We start from the raw sequence: 23,264 nt of genomic DNA on the forward strand, positions 1-23,264 counted from the left end.
TTTTATGACCAGAAAAATAAAATGATTTCCAGCTGGAAGAAAATCTTTTGTAGTCTAGGATTTGTTTCAGCCTATGGTATTCCCAGCCTGTCTACTGTAAAAGCAAACACGGGCTCATTTAAGCGTAGAGTGAAAATGGAGGCGCAGAAGCATGTGGACAGTAAGAAAGAGTGCCTCTGACAGAGTTCACTGAGAACTTCAATGTCTTTTTTTGACATTGAGTTATCTCTGTGGCTTCTGTCATTTATTAGCTCAGACCACAGCATTAATTACTGATTTTTTTAATCTTAAATGACAAGACACTGCTGTCCTGGGACCTTGCTTTAGGTTTAGTTATGGCTTTTTCCTCAGCCTATGTGGCCCACCTTTCTAATTTTTTTTCCTCTCTTTTGACCTCCCCAGACCGAGTGACGGTTCTCTACAGGAGCAAAGCCATTCGCTATACCTGGCCTTGTCCATTTCCTATGGCCGACTCCAGCCCTTGGGTTCATATTACCCTAGGTGATGGCAGCACCTTCCAGACCAAATTGTTGGTAGTTGAAGATTCTTATTTTGCTAGGGGTCTTGTATATCTACATCTTATCCTAGATTCTAGGGACTCTGGTTTTCGATTTAAGCTATAGTTTAATTTTAGGCAAAACTTTTGGTTATGAGGACCAGTACCTATTCAGGCCAGCTCAAGTGGAGATGGTCTCATCGTAAATCCTGTACAGGGAGCAATCTCATGGGCCGTCTTAGGTTGTGAAATAACAGATAGCTGGGCCTCACAGGACAGGCACCAGAGTGTTGGGAATGGAGGCTGTTCTTTCCCTCTGAGGAGTCTGTGGTCATTGATCTCTTGCCTCTCATTTTTCTCCTTTCTGCTCACAAGCTTCCCTTTTTGCATGGTAGCCATTCCTAACCCTACATCAGAACTATTCAGCTCCAGTGTGTGCCCCATACTGAAACTTTCCTTATTGCTCTCTAGTTCAAATATCAGGAGGGCCTGGCTGAGTTTAACTCATGGCTGGCACCTGTTCAGTCATGTCCAGCTTTGGCTCTGTTGGCTGAGGCTGATGTGACAGTGCAGGGGCTCCACCTCTAGGGGCTGTGAGTGAAGCAGGCCTGATGGAATTATCCTGCCACACAACAATCAGAGCTGGAGGAAACTTTAGGGAGCAGAGAAAAACTTCTGAAGCAGTTTATGAAGAGGCTGGAAGACTTAGCAGGCTCATGTGTCCATGCAGATAGGTGCAGATGGTCACAACTCCGGAGTACGGCAGGCTGTTGGAATCCAGAATGTGAGCTGGAACTATGACCAGTCTGCTGTTGTGGCTACTCTGCATTTATCAGAGGTAAGATCCTGAGCTGCCATCTGGGGACTTTATTCATAGGCACTAGGTACTTCACAGAGAAACTTTTCTCCTCTCTGTTGCAGGCCACAGAAAACAACGTAGCCTGGCAGAGATTTCTTCCCTCTGGGCCTATTGCTCTGCTCCCGGTAAGAGGTCCTTCTGACCAGTCCGCCCACATGCATGCAAGCCTTTCCTCTTCACTTTCTCTCAGCCTTTTTCTGGTTTCAAGGGAATCTGCCCAGGCTGTTTGTAAGTTCCCTTTTTGTCTTTTTATGCTTGAGAGTTTCCAAGTGCAGCAGAGTCTTAGCCGTTGGTATTGGTGTTCTTTTGACACAGCTCTCAGACACCTTGAGTTCCTTGGTTTGGTCCACGTCCCATGAACATGCAGCAGAGCTAGTTAGCATGGATGAGGAAAAATTTGTGGATGCCGTTAACTCTGCCTTTGTGAGTATCAATTTACCCAGCTGATGATGTGCTGCAGGGGGAGATACAGAAAGGTGTTGTTTTTTTTTTTTTGAAACGGATCCTTGCCAGGCTGGAGCGCAGTGGCGCGATCTTGGCTCACTGTGCAATCTCCGCCTCCCGGGTTCAAGCGATTCTCCTGCCTCAGCCTCCTAAGTAGCTGGGACTACAGGCACGTGCCACCATGCCCAGCTAATTTTTCTATTTTTAGTAGAGATGAGGTTTCACCATGTTGGCCAGGCTGGTCTCAAACTCCTGACCTCAAGTGATCTGCCTGCCTTGGCCTCCCAAAGTGCTGGGATTACAGGCGTGAGCCACTGCACCCAGCCAGAAAGGTGGTTTTGAGTCAGGAAAAAGGAGTAACCAGTCAGCTGTCCCTTTCTACTTTGTAACTATAATGCTTGGTCTAGATTATGTGGAGGAGTGTACACACGGAAATGCAAAACAATAGAAATAATAAATAATAACCTTTTGAGGGTTGTGGGCTGCTGTTAGGCTGACTGAAACAGCTGCCTGGGTGGTGGTTAGCATTGGCCTTTTTTTGAAGCTGTAACACTTGGATTATTTTGAACAGTTCTGCTAGGTTGCAGCTACCTGAACCTTTCAAGCCTGATTCATTGAAAGTATTCCTAGGGAAAGGCCGAGCGAATTTCAGCATGGGGCTTAAGAGTAAGCTTAGTAGATAGATGTGGGTTCAAAATGTAAATAGTATCACTAACTGCTCAGGATTGAATAAAGACTTTCAAAATGAGAGAACTTTTGTAAAATCCATGGAACATCTTTAGTACATTGTAGGTGCTCAACAAATACTAATAATTCTGGAGTAGACACAGCCTTTGGATAATATGGGTACCAGTATTACTTTTGGAGCCTAAATGACACTCAAAGCCTGCTACCTTCACACCAAAGACTCCACTGCTCTGTAGTAGCAACAAGAATAAAGGGAACTGAACATACTGAAATGGATTCCGAGATAAATGGTGAACACTACCCTACTCTGGGCCATTTAGTATATATTCCTGGCACAGGTCTAGGTCCTCTGCAGTGCAGTCATTCACCATTAATTGTCCTTTCTATGTAGCAGGCTCTGGAGATACTGAGAACAGTCTCCGCTTTCAGGAAGTTCATAGTCAAGTAAGGAAGACCGTAAATGACAATCTCCGTACAGTGATAGAAGTATGCATAGGATGCTGTGGAAGCATACAGGGGGGAAACACAGAGAAAGACTGGAGGAGTTAAAAAGAGGCGACGTCTTCTGGATGCTCTGAGATGTTATCCTAATGAAATAGAGACGGGCATTCTAAGCAGAGGAGAGTCATGGAGGTAGAAGGATACTGTGTGATGAGCTATACTGTGGCTGGTGCGTGGTTATTGAGGGTGGGGACTAGTGAAAGGTGAAGCTCAGAAGTAGGCAGGGGCCAGCTCATGTACAGTTTGGCTAGATCTTAAAACCTCTGGGGAGTGATGAGAAGTTGCTTTGCACTTGAGGGGCTTATCACTTGTCAAGATCAGTGTAGGCAAGTTGGGTAGCATTAGCCTAAGCTTTGGTTACAAACAAGGTTTCTTTATTGAATTTTTAATTCCCTGCTACTCACATTTCACCTTGTTTGTCTTGTGGCTGATGCTGCTCAGTGGAGTGATGCTGACCACACGGACTTCATCGACACAGCTGGTGCCATGCTGCAGTATGCTGTCAGCCTTCTGAAGCCCACTAAGGTCTCGGCTCGCCAGCTGCCCCCAAGCGTAGCCAGGGTGGATGCCAAAAGCCGAGTTCTGTTTCCTCTTGGGTTGGGACATGCTGCTGAGTACGTCAGGCCTCGGGTGGCGCTCATTGGGTAAGACGATAACAGAGCAGGGCCACTCCCTTCTCACTTTGCTGCCAGAGGTCACACCTGAACTCTGCTTTATTCTTAGGGATGCAGCCCACAGAGTCCATCCGCTTGCAGGACAGGGTGTCAACATGGGCTTTGGGGATATCTCCAGCTTGGCCCATCACCTCAGTACGGCAGCCTTCAATGGGAAGGACTTAGGTAAGGATTCAGATACTATGGGGAAGTATCCAGAGGTCATATAGTTAGGCAAGATCAGGGCCCACAGTAGCAAGAGGGAGTGGACATAAAATATATCTGGCTTGCTAGGAGATGGAAGAAAACCTTATTATTGGATTAGGGATTTAATCTTTCCTCTGCCCTTCAGGTTCCGTGAGCCACCTCACAGGTTATGAAACAGAAAGACAGCGTCACAACACTGCTCTTCTGGCTGCTACAGACTTACTAAAAAGGCTCTATTCTACCAGTGCCTCCCCGCTTGTGTTGCTCAGGACGTGGGGCTTGCAGGCCACAAATGCAGTGTCTCCACTCAAAGTAAGAGGTTGCTCAGAGGAATGACTTTGCAAACAGCTCTTAATTTCTTTTGCTTTTTTTTGAAACAGAGTCTTGGTCTTATCGCCCAGGATGGAGTGCAGTGGCACAATTTCCACTCACTGCAGCCTCTGCCTCCCAGGTTCAAGTGATTATCCTGCCTCAGCCTCCCAAGTAGCTGGGATTACAGGCGCCCACCACCACACCCGGCTAATTTTCTTATTTTTAGTAGAGATGGGGTTTCACCATGTTGGCCAAGCTGGTCTTGAACTCCTGACCTCGTGATCTGCCTGCCTCGGCCTCCCAAAGTGCTGGGATTACAGGCGTGAGCCACTGCGGCTGGCCCACAGCTCTTAATTTCTTTGAATTAATTTTCTTGGCTGTAAAATTATTATCTTTATGTGTTTGCCTTCCCAAGGGTTACAAGCAGAAGAGTACTTGCTAGGCTTTTAGGTGTTACGGCCCACATCTAAGCAATAACTATGTATAAAAAGGGCTTAAAAATAGTGAATAGGGAGTGTGGTGGCACATGCCTGTAGTCCTAGCTATTCAGGAGACTGAGGCAAGAGGATAATTTAAGCCTAGGAGTTTGAGGCTGCAGTGGGCTATGATCACATCATTGTTACTCAGACTGGGTGACAGAGTTAAGACCAGTCTCTTGAAAAAAAAAAATGAATAGGGATTTCTAATGATGAAGATGTTTAAGCTCCTTTTGCTGCTTGACTAGTTTCATCCCTGAGAACTTCCATTTAAAGATATGTTTTTTCTGATGGGTGCAGTGGCTCACACCTGTAATCCCAGCACTTTATAGGAGGCTGGGGAGGGAGGATTGCTTGAGCCTAGGAGTTTGAGGCTGCAGTGAGCTATGATCACACCACTGCACTCCAGCCCAGTCAACAGAGTGAGACCCTGTCTCTAAAACGTGTGTATATGTATGTATATTTTTCTTTTTTTAGCTGAAATAAAACAAGGACACTTGGGAAGAATACCTACGTGATTATTATCTACAATAATTATTTTCTTCACCTTACTGTGTTAAGAGTTTCATTCACTTTTATTTTTTCTCCAGGAACAGATTATGGCCTTTGCAAGCAAATGAGTACTCCTCTCCTAAAGAAAGATTACGTTGATGAAAAAGAACATCCTGCCCAGGACCCATCATACATATTTTCAAGATCTTATTTAATTTAATAAACTTACTTTACATTAAAATTCTCTTTTTCTTCTTTGCTTAATGGGCCTGTGGCACCCAAATAATGAATGATAATTTGCTGTGAGGAGCGTATATTAGCCAGACCAAAGGAAAAAACTTCGAAGGAAGACTTACAATTTGGTTGAAAAGAGCTTTTTATTACTAAAAAACCCACAAGGTGCTGTCTCACTCATTTCCAGTTAATCATTTCTAAAGAGAAAATTTACATTTTGTTTTTGTTTTAATGTTGGTCATAAATTTATACAGTTGTTTTTTGATAGAGGTAAGAATTAGACTCGATGCATTTTTGTTAGAATTGCTGTTTAAATGTTAACATCAGAATGCAAATTAAATATAAATTGCTTTAACCTTTGTTACAGGTATACTGGACTTTCTGAAAGGAAAACCAGGTCTCATTAATGCTAGTTATTACTTTATCACAGCACCAGATTTCCATTTTATTTATGGTTCCTCTCTGGGACACCACTGTCGGTTTAATAAAACAATAAATAATTCATTGCACAGATCCGAAGACCTCAGGAACCAGATCACAAGGGAAACCGATTAGCAGCAGAATTTGTTCATGTTTGGTGGCAGACTGGTGGCCAACTGGAGGGAGGGGAGTTTTACTGTGGGTTTTTGAAGAGGTCTCGTCACAAGACCAGAGATGCCTCTTGAAGAGATTTTTAGGTTGTAGGTTTGCTTACTCTAAAGAACATCTTGCCCAGAAGTCTGATTTGAGATGAAATGAAGAGAAACAGTCTGCTTTTGAACCAAGTAAGGTATTCTTGGGAATAATTTTTAGAGCCATGAGAAATCTATTCTTACAGGGGTGCTTTTCAGGCAAATGCAGAAAATTTAAAAGAGTCTAGAACAAAAAAGTGACAATGTCACAACCTTGCTGGAATCTCAGGAAAAAGAATTAAAGATGGCAGCTGCTGTGAAAAGCTGTGTGACTCCTGGCGGAGACTGCAGGGACAAGGTCATCTTTCACAAAAAATGGAAAGGTGGCCTAGATGAGGAGGACACAGACTCTCCAGAAGTTATGCAAACAAAATCAGGCAAGATGAAGAATTTTAAGGCACACCTCCATTGGCCCACAGAGAGTGTTCTTCATATGACAATGATGTTAAACACCATCTGTCACGTACCAGGCCATGTCCTAAGTATTTTAAATATGTTAACACATCTACAAAGAGGAAACTATTAGAATCTGTAGGACCTCTTAAGCCCAAAGGGTCTACTGCAGGCAGGATGGGCGTTACAGAAAAAAATAAAAACTCTCATTCCAAATTGCTCCTAAGATGGACAAATTGGTTACTTCTCCAGAAGGTCTAATCAAGGTTAACAAAATAGGTAAGTTCGTGGAGTTAGAATGCATCTTCCCTGGAGTTCAGAGGTATTTGGGATGACCAAAGGAGTCTGCTGGACAGTATGTGTGTTTTACAAAATGGCCCCCACAGTGATTAAAGACCAGAGACTTATATCTCTGCATTTGTCAAGCTGGAACAGTCTTTAGTGAACACAGCTTACCTCTTTTAAAACTGCTGGTTTCTACTGAAGGAAACATGGATGACATTTAGTGTTCTGTGACTGGTCTGGCACCCTACTTTTGTTGACAAAGATGGGAAGGGGTCTAAAAGTCATGTCACTTATAAAAGAACTTGGGAGGAACTTTTTTCAAAAGATCCAAAGATTTTGGAAGGAGAGATTAGAGCAGAACTAAGACCACTTAGAAGATAGGTAGATTTCAGCTCAATATAAGGAATTTTTTTTAATATCAGTGCAGTTCCAAATGGAATAAGCTGTTTGAACATGGCTTAGCAGAAGCTGAATGACAACCTGTTAGAAATTCTAGGGAATTCTGCACTGAGTACAACATTGGATTATTTCTTTGGGCTGTTTCCAACTCAAGATTCTGTTATTTCATTATAAGCATTTTGAGGAAGGCAGTTGGTATAAAGGTGACCTTAGTAATAAAAGTCAGTGTGAAGTCTAAAGAAATTCCACAATGAATTTAAAGACAAGAATTTTAGGGACAAGGATACAGAAATTTGCCTAGTAACTTGCACACAGCAGATGGTAAATATTTATTGACTCAATGGAGTAATGTTAAAAATAAGGTTTCCCATGGACTGTGTGAGGGCCAGGCATACTTAACATCCTTTGTGAGAGAGAGGATGGAAACGGAGTCTACTGTGAAAGCCACAAGTTTTGGGGAAATACACTCCTGCAAAGAAGCTGGAGGTTAACAACCAAGGCAAAGGGGCCAGACCACAGGGAGATCTTCCAGGTCCAAGAGCACTGCAGGGCAGATGAGAAGCAGGGATGATTATGTTGAAAGTGCAAGATAAGGCCAGGCGCGGTGTCTCATGCCTGTAATCCCAGCACTTTGGGAAGCGGGTGGATCAATTGAGATCAGGAGTTGGAAACCAGCCTGGCCAACATGGTGAAACCCCATCTCTACTACAAATACAAAAATTAGCCAGGAATGGTGGTGGGCACCTGTAATCCCAGCTCTTCAGGAGGCTGAGAACAAGAATCGCTTGAACCTGGGGGCGGAGGTTGCAGTGAGCTGAGATTGCGCCACTCCACTCTAGCCTGAGCAACAGAGCAAGACTCCATCTCAAAAAAAAGTGCAAGATAATGAATTTGGGGTAAATAATTCACAGTCAAGAGCTCTGAGCACTTGGATTCAAAAAGAGAGCATGAGGGACATTAAATATGGTTCTCCCTGGAAATGTTGGTCCACTGTACTGATGTGGGCTGAGAGAGCCAACCAAATCCAAGTGGGGTTTTGTCAGGAACGGTATTGGAAACTCTGAACTAGATAAATAATTCAAAGGATATTAGCTAAAGTGATCAGGGACCAGGACAGGAAGGTACTGTTACAAACGGAGAGAATAAAAGGGCAAACTGAAATAATAGATCCTGGAATAGCACAGACACTGACCTCTGACCACAGACCAAAAGTTAGGGCCTAGTTGTATTTCTTAGAAATACAAAGAAAACAAGTTTAGAATCATAGAAAACACTGTTAACACATTAGCCTGGGAGGTGGTACTGGCACTGAATATACACATACCCATAAAGTCGGATATGTTCATTAATCCCAGAGTTGACTGATAAAATGCTGATTAAAGCAAAGGTAGGCTATATGAGGCAGCCACACCCTCCCAAAACATGTCCCCAGAGACCGGGTGGCCTTCTTTCTTAAGGCTGTAATTTATGCACAGTTAGGAGTTACTCTCTCATCCTATTAATATTTAGGATGGCTCTCAGCTGGCTGATTGGAGCTAACACAGAATAGGATCATACAGATTCTGACATGGTCCCATTTTGCGTTGTTGAATTATACATGGAAAGCAAAACCAGGTTTTTTTTTTTCTCTCTTTTTCAGGGGAGGTGGGTGCAGATAAGGGTGGGCAGGGCACTGTATAGGGAGGAAAAAAATACTGATATTGATGGGTCTTGGGATTGCAATAAGTCAGTTTACCATTTAAGAGGAAAATTTAAATATTCAGTGGAATGAGGCACTCAAAGGGTTGAAATGCGATTTTTCTTTGGTTTCCAGGGACCTGTCCCTGGGCTCTCACTCCAAGGTTAAGTTCCAAAACTATACTTTTTGGCTCACAGGGCTCTCTGTGATGCTCTGGTGCCAGCTGTGTACTCTTGAGTGGTTAGGCAGCAGTTCACATTAGATGTGTAAAATTAATTAAACCTAAATCTCTAGGCTCAAGTCCAGGATGTCCCCAGACTAGTTCAGAAACTAAGTGCTCTCTCCTCCCCTTAAAAAGGTGTTGGCAAATGCAGGTCTCCAAGGAAGTACGTGGCCTCAATGGGAGATGCCCAGAGACTGCAACAGGTGAAAGGTGGCCCCCAAGGCCCAGCCCGTCTCTATGTTGTTCACTTTCTTTGTGAGCTGTTGAGAAGAAAAAAAGTCTTCACCTTTTCATCCAGTTTCCAACTCTAGCAAGCACAGCTCTTGGGCAGAAAATATTGGCAAAGAATATCCACATGGGCAAACCAAGGCAAAACGGACAGAAGCCAGTCTTTGCAGGCTTCCCACTACTCTGTAACAATTTCCTTCCGGCCATGGCCCATTGGCCATTGCCCCTACACCCACCATTCTCATATCTGAACTGAATGCTTCTGGCCCAGGTTGTGGCCCATCAGGCCTTCTAGAGAGATAGTTTAGACAGACAGTATTCTGAACTTTCCCTAACGTTGAAACTACACAAAGTATCCCCTGCTTTATTTTCTGATTCACTAATTTCAGATAAGGCAACTTGTAATGATAATAGATGTGGCAGAAAGAGCATGGTCAGGAGGTGAGAATAGATCTAGGGGTAGGAAAGAACAAACCAAGCTTCTCAACTCCTACTATGTAAGCAAGTGCCTCTTCCTAAGCACTAATAATAACCAAACATGGGGCCAGGCGCAGTGGCTCATGCCTGTACTCCTGGCACTTTGGGAGGCCAAGGCAGGTGGATTGCTTGAGGCCAGGAGTTCAAGACCAGCCTGGGCAACATGGCAAAACCCCGTCTCTACAAAAAAATTAGACAAGAGTGGTGGCACACACCTGTAATCCCAGCTACTCAGAGGGCTGAGGTGGGAGGGTCACTTGAACCCGGGAGGCAGAGGTTGCAGTGAACTGAGATCATGCCACTGCACTCCAGCATGGGTGACAGAGCAAGACCCTGTCTCAAAAAAAAAAAAAAAAAAGAAAAAAAAAGAAACGAACAAAAAAGGCCAGGAGTGGTGGCTCATGCCTATAATTCTAGCACTTTGGGAGGCTGAGGCGGGTGGATCACCTGAGATCAGAAGTTTGAGAATAGCCTGGCCAACATGGTGAAACCCCGTGTCTACTAAAAATACAAAATTAGCCAGGCATGGTGGCGCATGCCTGTAATCCCAGCTACTTCGGAGGCTGAGGCAGGAGAATCAGTTGAACCCGGGAGGTGGAGGTTGCAGTGAGCTGAGATTGCACCATTGCACTCCAGCCTGGGCAACAAGAGCGAAACTTGGTCTCAAAAGAAAAAGAAAAGAAAAAAATAATCAAACAGGGAACTTAAGACATTCTAAGCCAGTACATATCTCAATTAGCTTAGTGACCTTGGGCAAAACTTTAGACCCAAATTCCTCAACTATATAAGAAGAGGATTAGATTAGTGTTTATCGGTTTATCAATTTGTTTTCTTCAGAATTTTAGGGGTTTCTTAGAAATGCTTCGAAGGAAAAAGGGAGGCCAAATGATAGAGGAGTTTCAGGCCCCCAATCTCTGCTTCAACCAGAATAGTTCCACTTTTACCAGTTTTATATTACTGATACTCTTTTTTTTTTTTTTTTGAGACGGAGTTTCGCTCTTTGTTGCCAAGGCTGGAGTGCAATGGTATGATCTCTCCTCATTGGAACCTCTGCCTCCCAGGTTCAAGTGATTCTCCTGCCTCAGCCTCCCAAGTAGCTGGGATTACAGGCACCTGCCACCACGCCCGGCTAATTTTTGTATTTTTAGTAGAGACGGGGTTTCACCATGTTGGCTAGGCTGGTCTCGAACTCCTGACCTCAGGTGATCCGCCCGCCTCAGCCTCCCAAAGTGTTAGGATTACAGGCGTGAGCCATCAGGCCCGGCTGTATTACTGATATTCTACATAAGTTTTTGTTGGATAAAGATGCTACCACCACCAAAAAAGTCTATAAACCAGTTGATTGTTCTGTGTTGACCTGATGTAATAGAGCCTAGACACTGTGCCCAAAACTGGGGATAAATAACTTACTACAGATAAAGTAGAGCCTGCAGGTACTGAAACAGATGGAGAGAGACAGGAGGACAAAGAAAGACCTAAGATTCAAGAGGCATTAAATATACGAGGCACACATGAAATATATATGACACATTACATATGCATGAGGCATTCAGTGTTCATGAGGCCTTAAATAAGCCACTCACTGGTGACACCCTCTTGGTCTCTCATGTCCTCTGCCAAAGAAAACCCATCTTATAGGCTAATGACTGAGCTAATGCAAATGGCCATGTGTGTGTGCCCCTGGGGCCTCTCCAAATAGGGCAAGTTTGTGTGGTGGCCTCAGGCACCTTTTGTCTTTGTGCTCCCATGACCGAACTTCAGCTCTAGTATGTGTAACCACTCTATTAGCAGCAGAGACAGGCAGGACATATAAACCTAGGACAAATGGAACCCAAGATTCAGAGAGTGTGGCACTTGCATCCTGCTTGCACCGTGTCTTCTGTGTTCACCTCTCCAACTCTTTCCCCTTGCTTCTCACCCTGAGTTCTAAACTGATTTAATAAACCATGTGGGCCGGGTGCAGTGGCTCACGCCTGTAATCCCAGCACTTGGGAGTTCGAGGTGGGCGGATCACCTGAGGTCAGGAGTTCTCAGGAGTTCGAGACCAGCCTGGCCAACATAGTGAAACCCCATCTCCAATAAAAATACAAAAAAATTAGCCAGGAGTGGTGGCGCATGCCTGTAATCCCAGCTACTTGGGAGGCTGAGGCAGAAGAATCGCTTGAACCCAGGAGGCGAAGGTTGCAGTGAGCTGAGATCATGCCATTGCACTCCAGCCCAGGAAACAAGAGCGAGACTCCATCTCAAAAAAATAATAATAAATAAATAAATAAATAAATAAACCATGTGACTTGGCATCTTAATTTGGGCTGCTAGTCTTTCTGTTCTGTGACCTGTGCGATAGCTTGCCTGGTAATACACTCGGAGGCTACCATTGCATTGAGATAATTTCCCACATTCATGGTGCCCAGCACAGTACCTTGTCCATAGCCCAAACAAAAATACCTCATAATTTCACTTCTAGCTACTCTGATTACTGAACAAGCTCTTACTCCTTCTCAACCCCCACAAAAGAGGGCTGTTATGAGACTCTGGTGTCCTGTCTCTTACCTGTAAGACTGTGCTGTCTGCAAAGCCAAAGCCATCCTTTAACAGGGCTGTGATGTAGCTGAGATCCATGCACAGGAAAGGACTGCCTGAGGTGAAGTTTTCCAAGTTATCACACACTGAAAGAGAGAGTAAACAGTGGAGCTCAAGTTTGCAACTAACTGAGAGGTGTAGGATTTTCTCTTAGAAAGAAGTGGAATAGGGGCCAGGCGCGGTGGCTCACGCCTGTAATCCTAGCACTTTGGGAGGCTGAGGCGGGTGGATCACCTGAGGTCAGGAGTTTGAGATCAGCCTGGCCAACGTGGTGAAACCCCATCTCTACTAAAAATACAAAAATTAGCAGGGCGTGGTGGTGTACCGCTGTAATCCCAGCTACTCGGGAGGCTGAGGCAGGAGAATCGCTTGAACCTGGAAGGCAGAGGTTGCAGTGAGCCGAGATCTCACCACTGCACTCCAGCCTGGGTGACAGAGCAAGACTCTGTCTCAAAAAAAAAAGGTAGGGGGAGAAGAAGAATAAGCAAAGCAGAAGTCTCCCTTTGGTTAATGCTTAGGCATCTCAGAGACTAGACTGCACTGACTGCCTCTGTAAGACCGCAGCTTCTGAAGAACTTGCACATCTCTGGTATGATTATCTATTCACATTTACATGGGCTCTAGTTTATTTGCTAAGTTTCTATGACCTATTGTGGGGGCTTAGTTCTAAATCCCTTATCTATTATTAATGGTGAGGCCCAGAAGACAGGGAAATATCATTTAACCCTACTGTGGGCTACTCGATAAGATCATTTGTATTTTATTTTTTAATTTTTAAAAACTTTTTATTAATTTTTTTTTTTAGAGACAAGGTCTCATGCTGTCACCCAGGGTGGAGTGCAGTGGCATGATCACAGCTCCCTGCAGCCTCAAGCTCCTGGGTTCACACGATCCTCCTGCCTCAGCCTCCCAAGTAGCTGAGACTACAGGTCGAACCACTGTGCCTAGCTCTCTTGGTAGTTTTGATCCTCTCAAGGAAGCCTCTGTGGCTATTTACCATGTCTTTTGATGCTTAGTGTTTCATTAACACTGATAACACTATTTCAATTTAAAAAAGAAAGCAAGAAATGTAGAAGGAAAAAAAAGGTCTTCACCATTTCCCTAAAGCCCTAAAGCCTCTTTGTTTTTTTTTTTTTGAGGTGGAGTCTCACTCTGTTGCTCAGGCTGGAGTGCAGTGGCACAACCTTGGCTCACTACAACCTCTGCCTCCCAGGTTCAAGCGATTCTCCTACCTCAGCCTCCCGAGTAGCTGGGATTACAGGCGCCTGCCACCTTCCTTGGCTAATTTTTGTATTTTTAGTAGAGATGGGGTTTCACCATGTTGGCCAGGCTGTCTTGAACTCCTGACCTCAGGTGATCCGCCCACCTTGGCCTCCCAAAATGCTGGGATTACAGGCGTGAGCCACCGTGCCCGGCCTCCTAAAACCTCTTGTATTCCCATATTCTTGCCCATAATTCTATGCTGCATAAAGCTGAAAAAAAATTTATTTTTTTAGAGACAGAGGTCTCACTATGTTGCCTAAGCTGCAATGCAGTGACTGTTCACAGGTGTGATTATAGTGCACTATAACCTTGAATTTCTGGCCTCAAGCAATCCTCCCGCCCTGAGTAGCTGGGACTACAGATGCGTGCCACCATGCCTGGCTACCACCCAATGCTTTTAACTTTTAGCAAAGACTGGAAGACTCAGAAAGGAAACTAGCCTTCTGATAGGCCTTCTGAGCTGACTGAGGTGCTTTAGGTCACTTTAGGTCACTAGAGTAGGCAGGCAGTCTCACAGGCTTACCTTCAAGGGCTTCCCCTGACACTTACCTTCCCTGGCTTTTCTTTCAAAATCTTCAACTTTTAAAATACCCCCCTTTTCATAATCTGAAATAAAACAGAAGATTATCTGATATCAAAACGCCTTCAAGGAAGCATAAGGAAATTCATTCATTCATTCATTATATACACATGTACATAATGTAATCTATGCAACCTAATTTACTTATTTACAATCTATTCCATGTTATGTATATTTAACCACAATGGAAAAAACAGACCCATAAAACACAATAGGCCGGGTGTGGTGGCTCATGCCTGTAATCCCAGCACTTTGGGAGGCCGAGGAAGGCAGATAACGAGGTCAGGAGTTCAAGACCAGCCTGACCAACATGGTGAAACCTCGTCTCTATTAAAAAAAAAATTAGCCGGGTGTGGTGGCAGGCACCTGTAATCCCAGCTACTCAGGAGACTGGGGCAGGAGAATCGGTTGAACCCGGGAGGCAGAGGTTGCAGTGAGCCTAGATCATGCCATTGCACTCCAGCCTGGGTAACAGAGTGAGACTCTGTCTCAAAAAACAAACAAACAAACAAAAAACCAAAACAACAACAACAACAAAACCCCCACAATAATAGGAAATTAATTCATCTCTCTCAGGCCATGACAGATCAGGTACATATACTTTCACAGTTAGGCAAAAACACTGCTTTTGTGATAAGAAGAAAAGTTATAAAGAGACAGGAGGAAACTTTTTGTGGTGAATATGTTTATTATCTTCAATGTGCTGATGGATTCATGGGTGTATACATGACAAAACTTAAATTGTATACTTTAAATGTGCACTTATTGTATGCCAATTATACCTCAATAAACATGTTAAAAAAAAAAAGACCTCATATAGTTGTTTTGGTCATCTCTCACCTCCAAAAGACTCTAAGTCATTTCCACCCTTTTGTTCGAGTGACTAGAAAAGAGGTGGGTAATCACCCCGACAAAGCACCTCAAGTGCTCTTTCTCCTTGACCTTCCCCACCACAGCCCTATCCACCTTCCTCTCTGGACTGACACCTGGGGTGAACTCACCAATCATGTCTGTGTCAACAGCTCGGTCATAATAGTAAGAGAAAGCATAGAAGGAACCTCTCTGGACCTCCTCTGGCTGGTGAAGTTTTCCTCGTACCACCCTCAGCACTTCGGCATAGCAGGGCTCAAAGCCCACCTCCCCTGCCAGGCAAAGGTGCACAGGGGTAAGGTGAGAACGACGCTGGGGGAAGGGGACACTCTCTGAGGCAGGCTGCTGGAGACAATGAGGGAACAGCAGGAAGGTCAAGGAAAGCAGGAGAAGGCTGAGGCTTGGGACAAGAGGCGTCAAAACAAAGATGAGCAAACGTCTGCAGCCTCACCAGTCTGTTTCTCCATGGCCGCTCTCCTGCCTAATCTGTATTCACCAGATCATGGCCAACCTTGTGCTGCTGCCTAGCATTACATTCCATAGCATTTGTAAGCAAGTAGCTAAAGGGCTCGCCTGCTTCCTTCACTGGGAATTCAGGTTCATTCCTTGATATTCAGGTATATACCTTTTATAAGAAGATGAATCATTCTTGTCTTGGTTTTAAGTTTTACTATAATTTAAATAGCTAACCATTAACTAAACAGGCTTTCACACTGCTGCATTAGACCTAGGCTTAGAATATGCTTCTTAATTAATTTGTAAGAGGTAGGGTCTCCCTGTTGCCCAGGCTGGAGTGCAGTGGCATTGCGCACTATAGCCTTGAACTCATGGGCTCAAGTGATCCTCTTGCCTCAACCTTTGGAGTAGCTAGGACAATAGATGTGCACCACAGCACTTGGCTAAGGGCAGGTATCTAATGGGTCCATGACACTTGGCTGATGCAGAATGACAGCTGCTTTGTTCACTGTCACTTCACATTAGTCCTTGGAGGCATGCCAAGATCTTTGGAATAAGTCCCTGCAACAAGATAAGCTTCTCTTGAGTTCTGGAAAAAGTTTCCCATGGGACTTTTCCAGAGCTTCCATTGTAAACGTAACTTTAACCAGTGAAAAAACATCACTTGCCTTCTTGGTTGCCACCATACTGGTATTTCACACCCCCAAAGATCCACTCTGCTTCCAACCATCTCGGTAAACAGGCACTCCGGAAAGTGTGCCCATCAGTCCCTGAAAGAATCCAGGGCACAAGGTAAGAGGTAAGTAAGTGAGAGAGAGGGAGGAAGGCAAGCAAGAAGCCAGTGAGGTGGAAAAGAATCACCATGGGGGCTGGGCCTTAAAATCCTATGAAATTAATTCCATGACAACATCCTGTGACAGGAATCCTTAACTCAGGGTTCAAAGATAGGCTTTGTGGGGTTGGTGAACCCCCTGAAACCAGAAGCAAATTTTCATGCATATGTGCTTTTGTCAGAGGGGTCCATGGCTTTCATCACATCTCAAAGAGATCCAAAACCTTCAATACAGCAACTTTCCACCTTTATAAAAACAGGAAAGAAATGCTATGCTACCTTCCTCACTGGTTGCTGAGAGGCTTCAATTAAATATACTTGAAGATGTTTTGTATACTCTGAAATGCAAAATAGATGTCATCCCAATAACAGATTACTGTACAAAGTGCCTTAAATGCAAATTCTCATTTAATGTGAGGAAAGGGGCACAGATAGGTTACTTGCCTCATATCACAACACTGGGACTGAACCCAGTTCTGCCTGACCTGTGAAGAGATCAATGGAGTTACTCTGTTGTTCCACCTGCATGTAGAACAGACTCTGCTTCCTGTGCCTCCAATGTAAAGCTCAGGGCTTGAGCAAGCTCCTGCTGAATGTATTCGTAAAGCCTGGGATTTCTGCAGACACTTCAGCTGCCTAGACATAGGCTGTTACCCCTGAACAAGTAGACCTCATTCTAAAAATGGCTAATAATATACATCAAAACTTCTGAACTTATAAACTAGAAAAGGAGTTTGCCATTATTAGGTCCATTATACAACATTTGCCTCCCAATTCAACATAATCTTTTCCTTCATAGAATGGCTATCAAGGAAGGGAAGAAGCAAGCGGAGTATCTGTGTCACCCTCACCATCCCCCCCCAGCACAGGTACCCAGACAAACCTTCTGTCTCCAGGGCTCCCAGGGTTGCTAGTCTTGCAGCTTTCAATCCAAATCCCAGGTAACTGTAAAATACAGGATTGACTAATTTCATGCTGGTCCTGAAGTTCTCTAGCCTAAAGCTACCTCTTTCAAAAGTAACATTGTTCCTGTGTCCCTCTGGAAAGATGAAAACCTTGTTCTGTCTGTGACATATTCATCTCCTGTGGTCAACAAGGGGTAATTTCTGCACAGTTTGGATCAAGGCTATGCAGTAAGAATTCCCCACAGTTATCATTCAAAGGCCAGAGACAGTGACAATTCCTAGGGTCCCACACTAGGAACCATTCCCAGAAAAGCTCTCTTTAGCTTAGCTCCTAGCCCCAACTGGGATCACATTCCAGGCTGGATTCTGAACCTCTGAAGGCCAGCTCAAAGGAGCTGGCAAGGAGCTTTGCCTGAGCCTTCTTGAAGTGTCCTCTCCCTACAGAAAGCTTTTGATTCTTTTTTTTTTTTTTTTTTTGAGACTGAGTCTTGCTCTGTCGCTCCGGCTGAAGTGCAGTGGTGTGATCTCGGCTCACTGCAATCTCCGCCTCCAGGGTTCAAATGATTCTCCTGCCTCAGCCTCCTGAATAGCTAGGATTACAGGTGTGCGCTGTCATATCCAGCTAATTTTTGTATTTTAGTAGAGACGGGGTTTCACCATGTTTGCCAGGCTGGTCTCAAACGCCTGACCTCAGGTGACCCACCCACCTCGGCCTCCCAAAGTGCAGGGATTACAGGCATGAAGCCACTGCACCCAGCCGAAAACTTTTGACTCTTAAGTCATATATTAATGCTTTTGAGGCCAAGAATGGAGAAGCCTCTTAGGCTCCTCCGGCTTTGTAAGTGGACCGGGTTTCAGTTGATAGGCCTTAGGGAATTGGCACAGACTTTGTTTTTGCTAATCAGATACAATAACAGATTTGAGAATGCTTTGGAAAGTTAGGAGAATCATACAACATGAAATATTCTTCTTCCCTGTCCCCGTCCTCACCTATGTGTATAGAGCTTATAAGTGCTGTTAAACATCTCAAAGGAAGTGAGGTAGCCCCTAGGAGTTTGTTCCAGAGTTTTCTGCAAATCAGAAAAAGCAAAAAGACTATTCAGGATCTGTAATTACCTGAAGATGTTCACACCACCACCCGTCCCTCCCAGCAAAAAATCAGAGATGAAGACAGATTAAGGGGCTAATCTCACTAGGCTTGAGGAAACGAAGGGATTCTGAACAGTGAGATGGCAAGGGAACATTCACCTAGTTATTAATTGACTTGACTCTGCCTAAGCGTGGTAGAGCTGCTGGCTGAAAATGGGGCGCCTCTTTCTTGGCACCATGATACGCCTGCCAAGTGCACTTCTAACCAGATCTTCATTAAATGACTCACCTCAAACTGGGGCAGGAACGTGATTTGGGTGGAGGCTCCCCCTAGGTCCAAGGTCCCCACAGTCTCCTGTCTGTGGCCATGCAGCTGACCTGTCAAATGAGAGCCAGCTCTAAATAGCCTCGACATCCTGGGCAGCCCAACACTTGTCTCTCTTGCTCTTATCATACACTGAAGGTATTCCATACATACTCCACTGCTCCCCAGCCCCAAGGCTGCAGGTGAATGTCAACTCGGAAGGACTCTTGTTGCAGCAGAGGCCTTCAAGGCAGGTGTTTTTTTTTTTTTTGGAAGGCCTTTTTGGAGACAGAGTCTTGCTCTATCATCCAGCCTGGAGTGCAGTGGCGCAATCTCGGCTCTCAGCTCACTGCAACCTCTGCCTCCTGGGTTCAAGTGATTCTCCAGCCTCCTGAGTAGCTGGGACTACAGGTACACACCACCATGCCCAGCTATTTTTGTATTTTTGGTAGAGACGGAGTTTCGCCATGTTGGCCAGGCTGGTCTTGAACTCCTGGCCTCAAGTGATCTGCCCAACTCAGCCTCCCAAAGCGCTGGAATTAACAGGCATGAACTGCCACACCCAGCCTCTTTTCCTTTTTTAAAGAAGAAGAAACAATACAGAATGAAAGAAAAGGCTTTTACTCCTCTGACTATGCATGTAAAAGCTAGTTAAGCTCTAAAGATAAACTTGAGGATGTATTACCTGTCAGAAAATTCACAGTAACCCAAGCTAATATGCCTAAAAAGAAAGAAAGACAAGGATTAGATCCCAGAGCATTTTTTCTCTTTCCTGGCCCCAACCTTGTTTTTTTTTTTTCCTCTCTAAATTCCATGTCTAGAGCACATGTTCCCTTCTCCCTGTCTTCTATTTCCTGCTATCTCATTCCTTCTGTTTATTCCTGGCCCCAGTTCCTTTAGTTAGATCTTTCACTGATCCTGCCCCTCTCCCCCTGGAACGCATATCAACACCTCTCCCACCTTCGTCGGATCCATCCATGATGCTAACACTGCCCTTTGGTACCAGGAAAGGTGACTTCCTGAAGATCTCCTTTACCTAGAGAAAAAGGAAAAAAAAAAAAAAAGAATTCCCTAAGGCAATAAAATAGATTTCCATATTTTGACAGTGTCCTGTAAGACTTAGAAAACTACTCCATTTTTCCTAGATAAAATTTTGGCAAAACTCATTCCTTTGCCCTAAGAAACTAGAGAAGAAACTAGGCAAGCCATTACCAGTTTCTTGCAAAAACACAAACACAGAGATTCCTTTGACTTTAAGTAAAGCTAAACCAAACCATCTAAATGTATAGGTGAACTGGACCTATGGAAAGGCATATATTTAACCCTGCCAGCTCAAATCAGGATCCTGTAACTTTTTAAACCTGATAAACTCTACCTGGACATACACTGGAAACTAGGAGGAGCCTTCCCACTCCATTCCTTAGATGAGCTGACATGAACCTGCTGTGGTGAAGTTCACACCTAAGGGCTGAGGTACTCTGCTACCAGCTCCTGTCAGATTCTGGCACATGGCTAGGGTCTCTAGAGCATGGGGAGACTCCAGATCTAGACTTAAGGAATCCTGTTTCAGGAGATGGGAATGACGATCTTGCAAAAACATCTTGCCTCTCCATAATACAGACCATTGATATGGGTGTTAATGTCTTATGTTTATATAATTATCAAGGGAAAGAAAAAAGAATTCTCCAAATAGGATAGGAAGAACGCTAGTCTGTTTGCTGTTCTCATTTCTGATGGATGAAACATACCACATAATGACCTCTGGATCCTGTTTCAACCAGGAAAAACCAGTTAAGTTATATATAAACAAACTTTTAAAGACAGATAAGTGAACAGGATGAAGCACAGCAAGAGAGCTTCTGCTCTTGCCTTCTCCACTTTTCTCCCCCATCCTACAGTTTGTTCTCAAAACAGCAGCCAGAACGGTGCTTTAAAAATGGACGTCAAATCATGTGTTTCCTTGGCTCAAAACCTTCCAGTGGCAGCCGGGCATGGTGGCTCATACCTCTCATCCCAGCACTTTTGGAGGCCGAGGCAGGTGGATCACCTGAGGTCAGGAGTTCGAGACCGGCCTGGCCAACATGATGAAACCCCATCTCTACTAAAAATACAAAAAAATTAGCATGGTGGTGGGCACCTGTAATCCCAGCTACCTGGGAGGCTGAGGTAGGAGAATCGCTTGAACCCAGGAGGTGGAGGTTGCAGTGAGCCGAGATCGCGCCATTGCACTCTAGCCTGGGTAACAAGAGTGAGACTCTGTCTCAAACAAAACAAAACAAAACAAAACGCCAAAAAACAAAAAACCTTCCAGTGGCTTCCTTCTTATAGAAAAAGCCAAAGTGCGGGCGGATCACCTGAAGTCAGGAGTTTGAGACCAGCCTGACCAACATGGTGAAAACCCATCTATACTAAAAATAGAATATTAGCCGGGCATGATGGCGCATGCCTGTAATCCTAGCTACTTGGGTGGCTGAGGCAGAAGAATCACTTGAACCCAGGAGGTGGAGGTTGCAGTGAACAGAGATAGCGCCATTGCACTCCGTCCTGGGCAACAAGAGCAAAATTCAGTCTCAAAAAGAAAAAAGAAAAAGAAAAAGCCAAAGTGATTACACTGGCATTTGAGATCCTACATGATAAACACCCCTTAACCCTGCCTCTCTGAGGTTACCGCCTCCTTACCTCTCATATCGCTCTTTCCTCTCCAGCTATGCTGACCTCCTGGATGCTGTTCCTAACATACCAAGCACATACCTGCCTCTGGCCTTTGCACCTGCTGTTTCTTTAGCCTGGAATATTCTTCCCACAAATGTCTTGTGTAACTTGCTTCTTCATCCCCCTAAGATCTCTGATCAACTGAATTTTATCAAAGACTTCTTCCCTGACTGTCCTATTTAAAATAGCATTTCCCCCACACTATCAACAGATTCCCTACCTGCCTTTCCCTGCTTTTTTTTTTTCCCTCCATAGCACCTGCAGAACCTAACATAACTTTCTTTTGACTTGTTCAGATGTTTATTTTCTGTCTTCCTGAAGTAGAATGTAAGCTACAGGAGTGCAAAGACCATTTTTGTATTTTTGGTTCCCTGCTGAATGTATTCCAGTAACTTCACCAGTACCCAGTACATAGTAAGCACTTTTTTTTTTTTTTTTTGAGACAGAATCTTGCTCTGTCACCCAGGCTGGAGTGCAGTGGCGCCATCTCAGCTCACTGCAGCCTCTGCCTCCCGGGTTCACACCATTCTCCTGCCTCAGCCTCCCGAGTAGCTGGGACTACAGGTGCCTACCACCACGCCTGGCTAATTTTGTGTATTTTTAGTAGAGACGGGGTTTCACCGTGTTAGCCAGGATGGTCTCGATCTCCTAACCTCGTGATCCACCCGCCTTGGCCTCCCAAAGTGCTGGGATTACAGGCGTAAGCCACTGCACCTGGCCCAGTAAGCACTCTTATGTTGAATAAATGAGGAATAAATCAGGAATCAGGATTCAGGTTCTCACAGAGACATATTAGGCTGCTCATCCTTGGATAAGTGACTTAAGTCCTCTGTACTGACAGTCAAAGGAAAATGGATTTAGGGCCTGTAATACAGAGTCCTTTTTTGCCATGATTTTTTTTTTTTTTTTTTTTGAGACAGAGTTTCACTCTTGTCACCCAGGCTGGAGTGCAATGGCACGATCTTGGTTCACTGCAACCTCTGCCTCCCAGGTTCAAGTAATTCTCCTGCCTCAGCCTCCCCAGTAGCTGGGATTACAGATGCCTGCCACCATGCCCAGCTAATTTTTGTATTTTTATTAGAGACAGGGTTTCACCATGTTGGCCAGGCTGGTCTTGAACTCCTGACCTCAGGTGATCCGCCCGCCTCGGCCTCCCAAAGTGTTGGGATTACAGGCATGAGCCACCGCGCCTGGCCTACTATGATTTTCAGTTTCAATCTTTTTTTTTTTTTGAGACAGAGTCTCGCTCTGTTGCCCAGGCTGGAGTGCAGTGGCGTGATCTCGGCTCACTGCAAGCTCCGCCTCCCAAGTTCAAGCAATTCTCCTGCCTTAGCCTCCTGAGTAGTTGACCAACAGGCGTGAGCCACCATGCCCAGCTAATTTTTGTATTTTCAGTAGAGACGGGGTTTCACCATGTTGGCCAGGCTGGTCTCAAACTCCTGACCTCAGGTGATCTGCCCGCCTTGGCCTCCCATAGAGCTGGGATTTTGGGCATGAGCTACCACACCGGGACTTAATTTTTTTTGTAGAAATAGGGGTCTTGCTTTGTTGTCTGGACTGGTCTCAAATTCCTGGCCTCAAGCAATCCTCCTGCTTTGGCCTCCCAAAATGTTGAGATTACAGGCATGAGCCACTGCACCGAGCCTGATTTTTTGTTATAATGAGATTCTGCTTATATTCTTCACAACATGAAATTTAAATTTTATTAACTTACATGTTTATTGCATAACAAATATATACAATAAAATTTAAAAATACTGAGTTTGGCTGGGCACAATGGCTCATGCCTGTAATCCCAGTACTTTGGGAGGCTGAGGCGGGCAGATCACCTTAGGTCAGGAGTTTGAGACCAGCCTGACCAACATGGCGAAACCCCATCTCTACTAAAATATACAAAAATTAGCTGGGAGTGGTGGCGCACGCCTGTAGTCCCAGCTACTCGGGAAGCTGAGGCAGGA

At 44.7% G+C, this 23,264-nt stretch overlaps 2 protein-coding genes across 29 annotated transcripts in view; one reads left to right on the plus strand and one right to left on the minus strand.

Moving 5' to 3' along the window:
* COQ6 (coenzyme Q6, monooxygenase) overlaps positions 1–5,926 on the plus strand; it is a 13,753-nt gene extending 7,827 nt beyond the window's left edge. For 4 of the 15 annotated variants that reach the window (NM_001425259.1, NM_001425263.1, NM_001425260.1 and 1 more), the window contains 8 exons: positions 403–533; positions 1,227–1,334; positions 1,418–1,480; positions 1,671–1,778; positions 3,429–3,631; positions 3,711–3,826; positions 3,993–4,159; positions 5,226–5,368. In NM_001425259.1, the coding sequence (NP_001412188.1) occupies positions 403–533; positions 1,227–1,334; positions 1,418–1,480; positions 1,671–1,778; positions 3,429–3,631; positions 3,711–3,826; positions 3,993–4,159; positions 5,226–5,255 (926 nt within the window). In that variant the 3' untranslated portion in view covers positions 5,256–5,368. Of the gene's footprint in view, positions 1–402; positions 534–1,226; positions 1,335–1,417; positions 1,481–1,670; positions 1,779–2,877; positions 3,120–3,428; positions 3,632–3,710; positions 3,827–3,992; positions 4,160–5,225 lie in introns of those variants that run through there. The other 11 variants (NM_001425265.1, NM_001425262.1, NM_001425264.1 and 8 more) reach the window with 7 other exon arrangements.
* ENTPD5 (ectonucleoside triphosphate diphosphohydrolase 5 (inactive)) overlaps positions 1–23,264 on the minus strand; it is a 63,960-nt gene that overhangs the window by 2,416 nt on the left and 38,280 nt on the right. For 7 of the 14 annotated variants that reach the window (NM_001382256.1, NM_001321986.3, NM_001249.5 and 4 more), the window contains 10 exons: positions 19,555–19,630; positions 19,280–19,315; positions 18,580–18,668; positions 18,192–18,271; positions 17,180–17,241; positions 16,133–16,234; positions 15,140–15,280; positions 14,108–14,164; positions 12,266–12,381; positions 5,486–9,270 (listed from right to left, as the gene is read on the minus strand). In NM_001382256.1, coding sequence (NP_001369185.1) covers positions 9,184–9,270; positions 12,266–12,381; positions 14,108–14,164; positions 15,140–15,280; positions 16,133–16,234; positions 17,180–17,241; positions 18,192–18,271; positions 18,580–18,668; positions 19,280–19,315; positions 19,555–19,630 — 846 coding nt within the window. In that variant the 3' untranslated portion in view covers positions 5,486–9,183. Of the gene's footprint in view, positions 1–171; positions 1,810–3,339; positions 3,807–5,485; positions 9,271–12,265; positions 12,382–14,107; positions 14,165–15,139; positions 15,281–16,132; positions 16,235–17,179; positions 17,242–18,191; positions 18,272–18,579; positions 18,669–19,279; positions 19,316–19,554; positions 19,631–23,264 lie in introns of those variants that run through there. The other 7 variants (NM_001382260.1, NM_001382259.1, NM_001330189.2 and 4 more) reach the window with 4 other exon arrangements.

The sequence above is a fragment of the Homo sapiens genome, chromosome 14 (assembly GCF_000001405.40).
Source record: "Homo sapiens chromosome 14, GRCh38.p14 Primary Assembly".
NCBI lineage: Eukaryota > Metazoa > Chordata > Mammalia > Primates > Hominidae > Homo > Homo sapiens.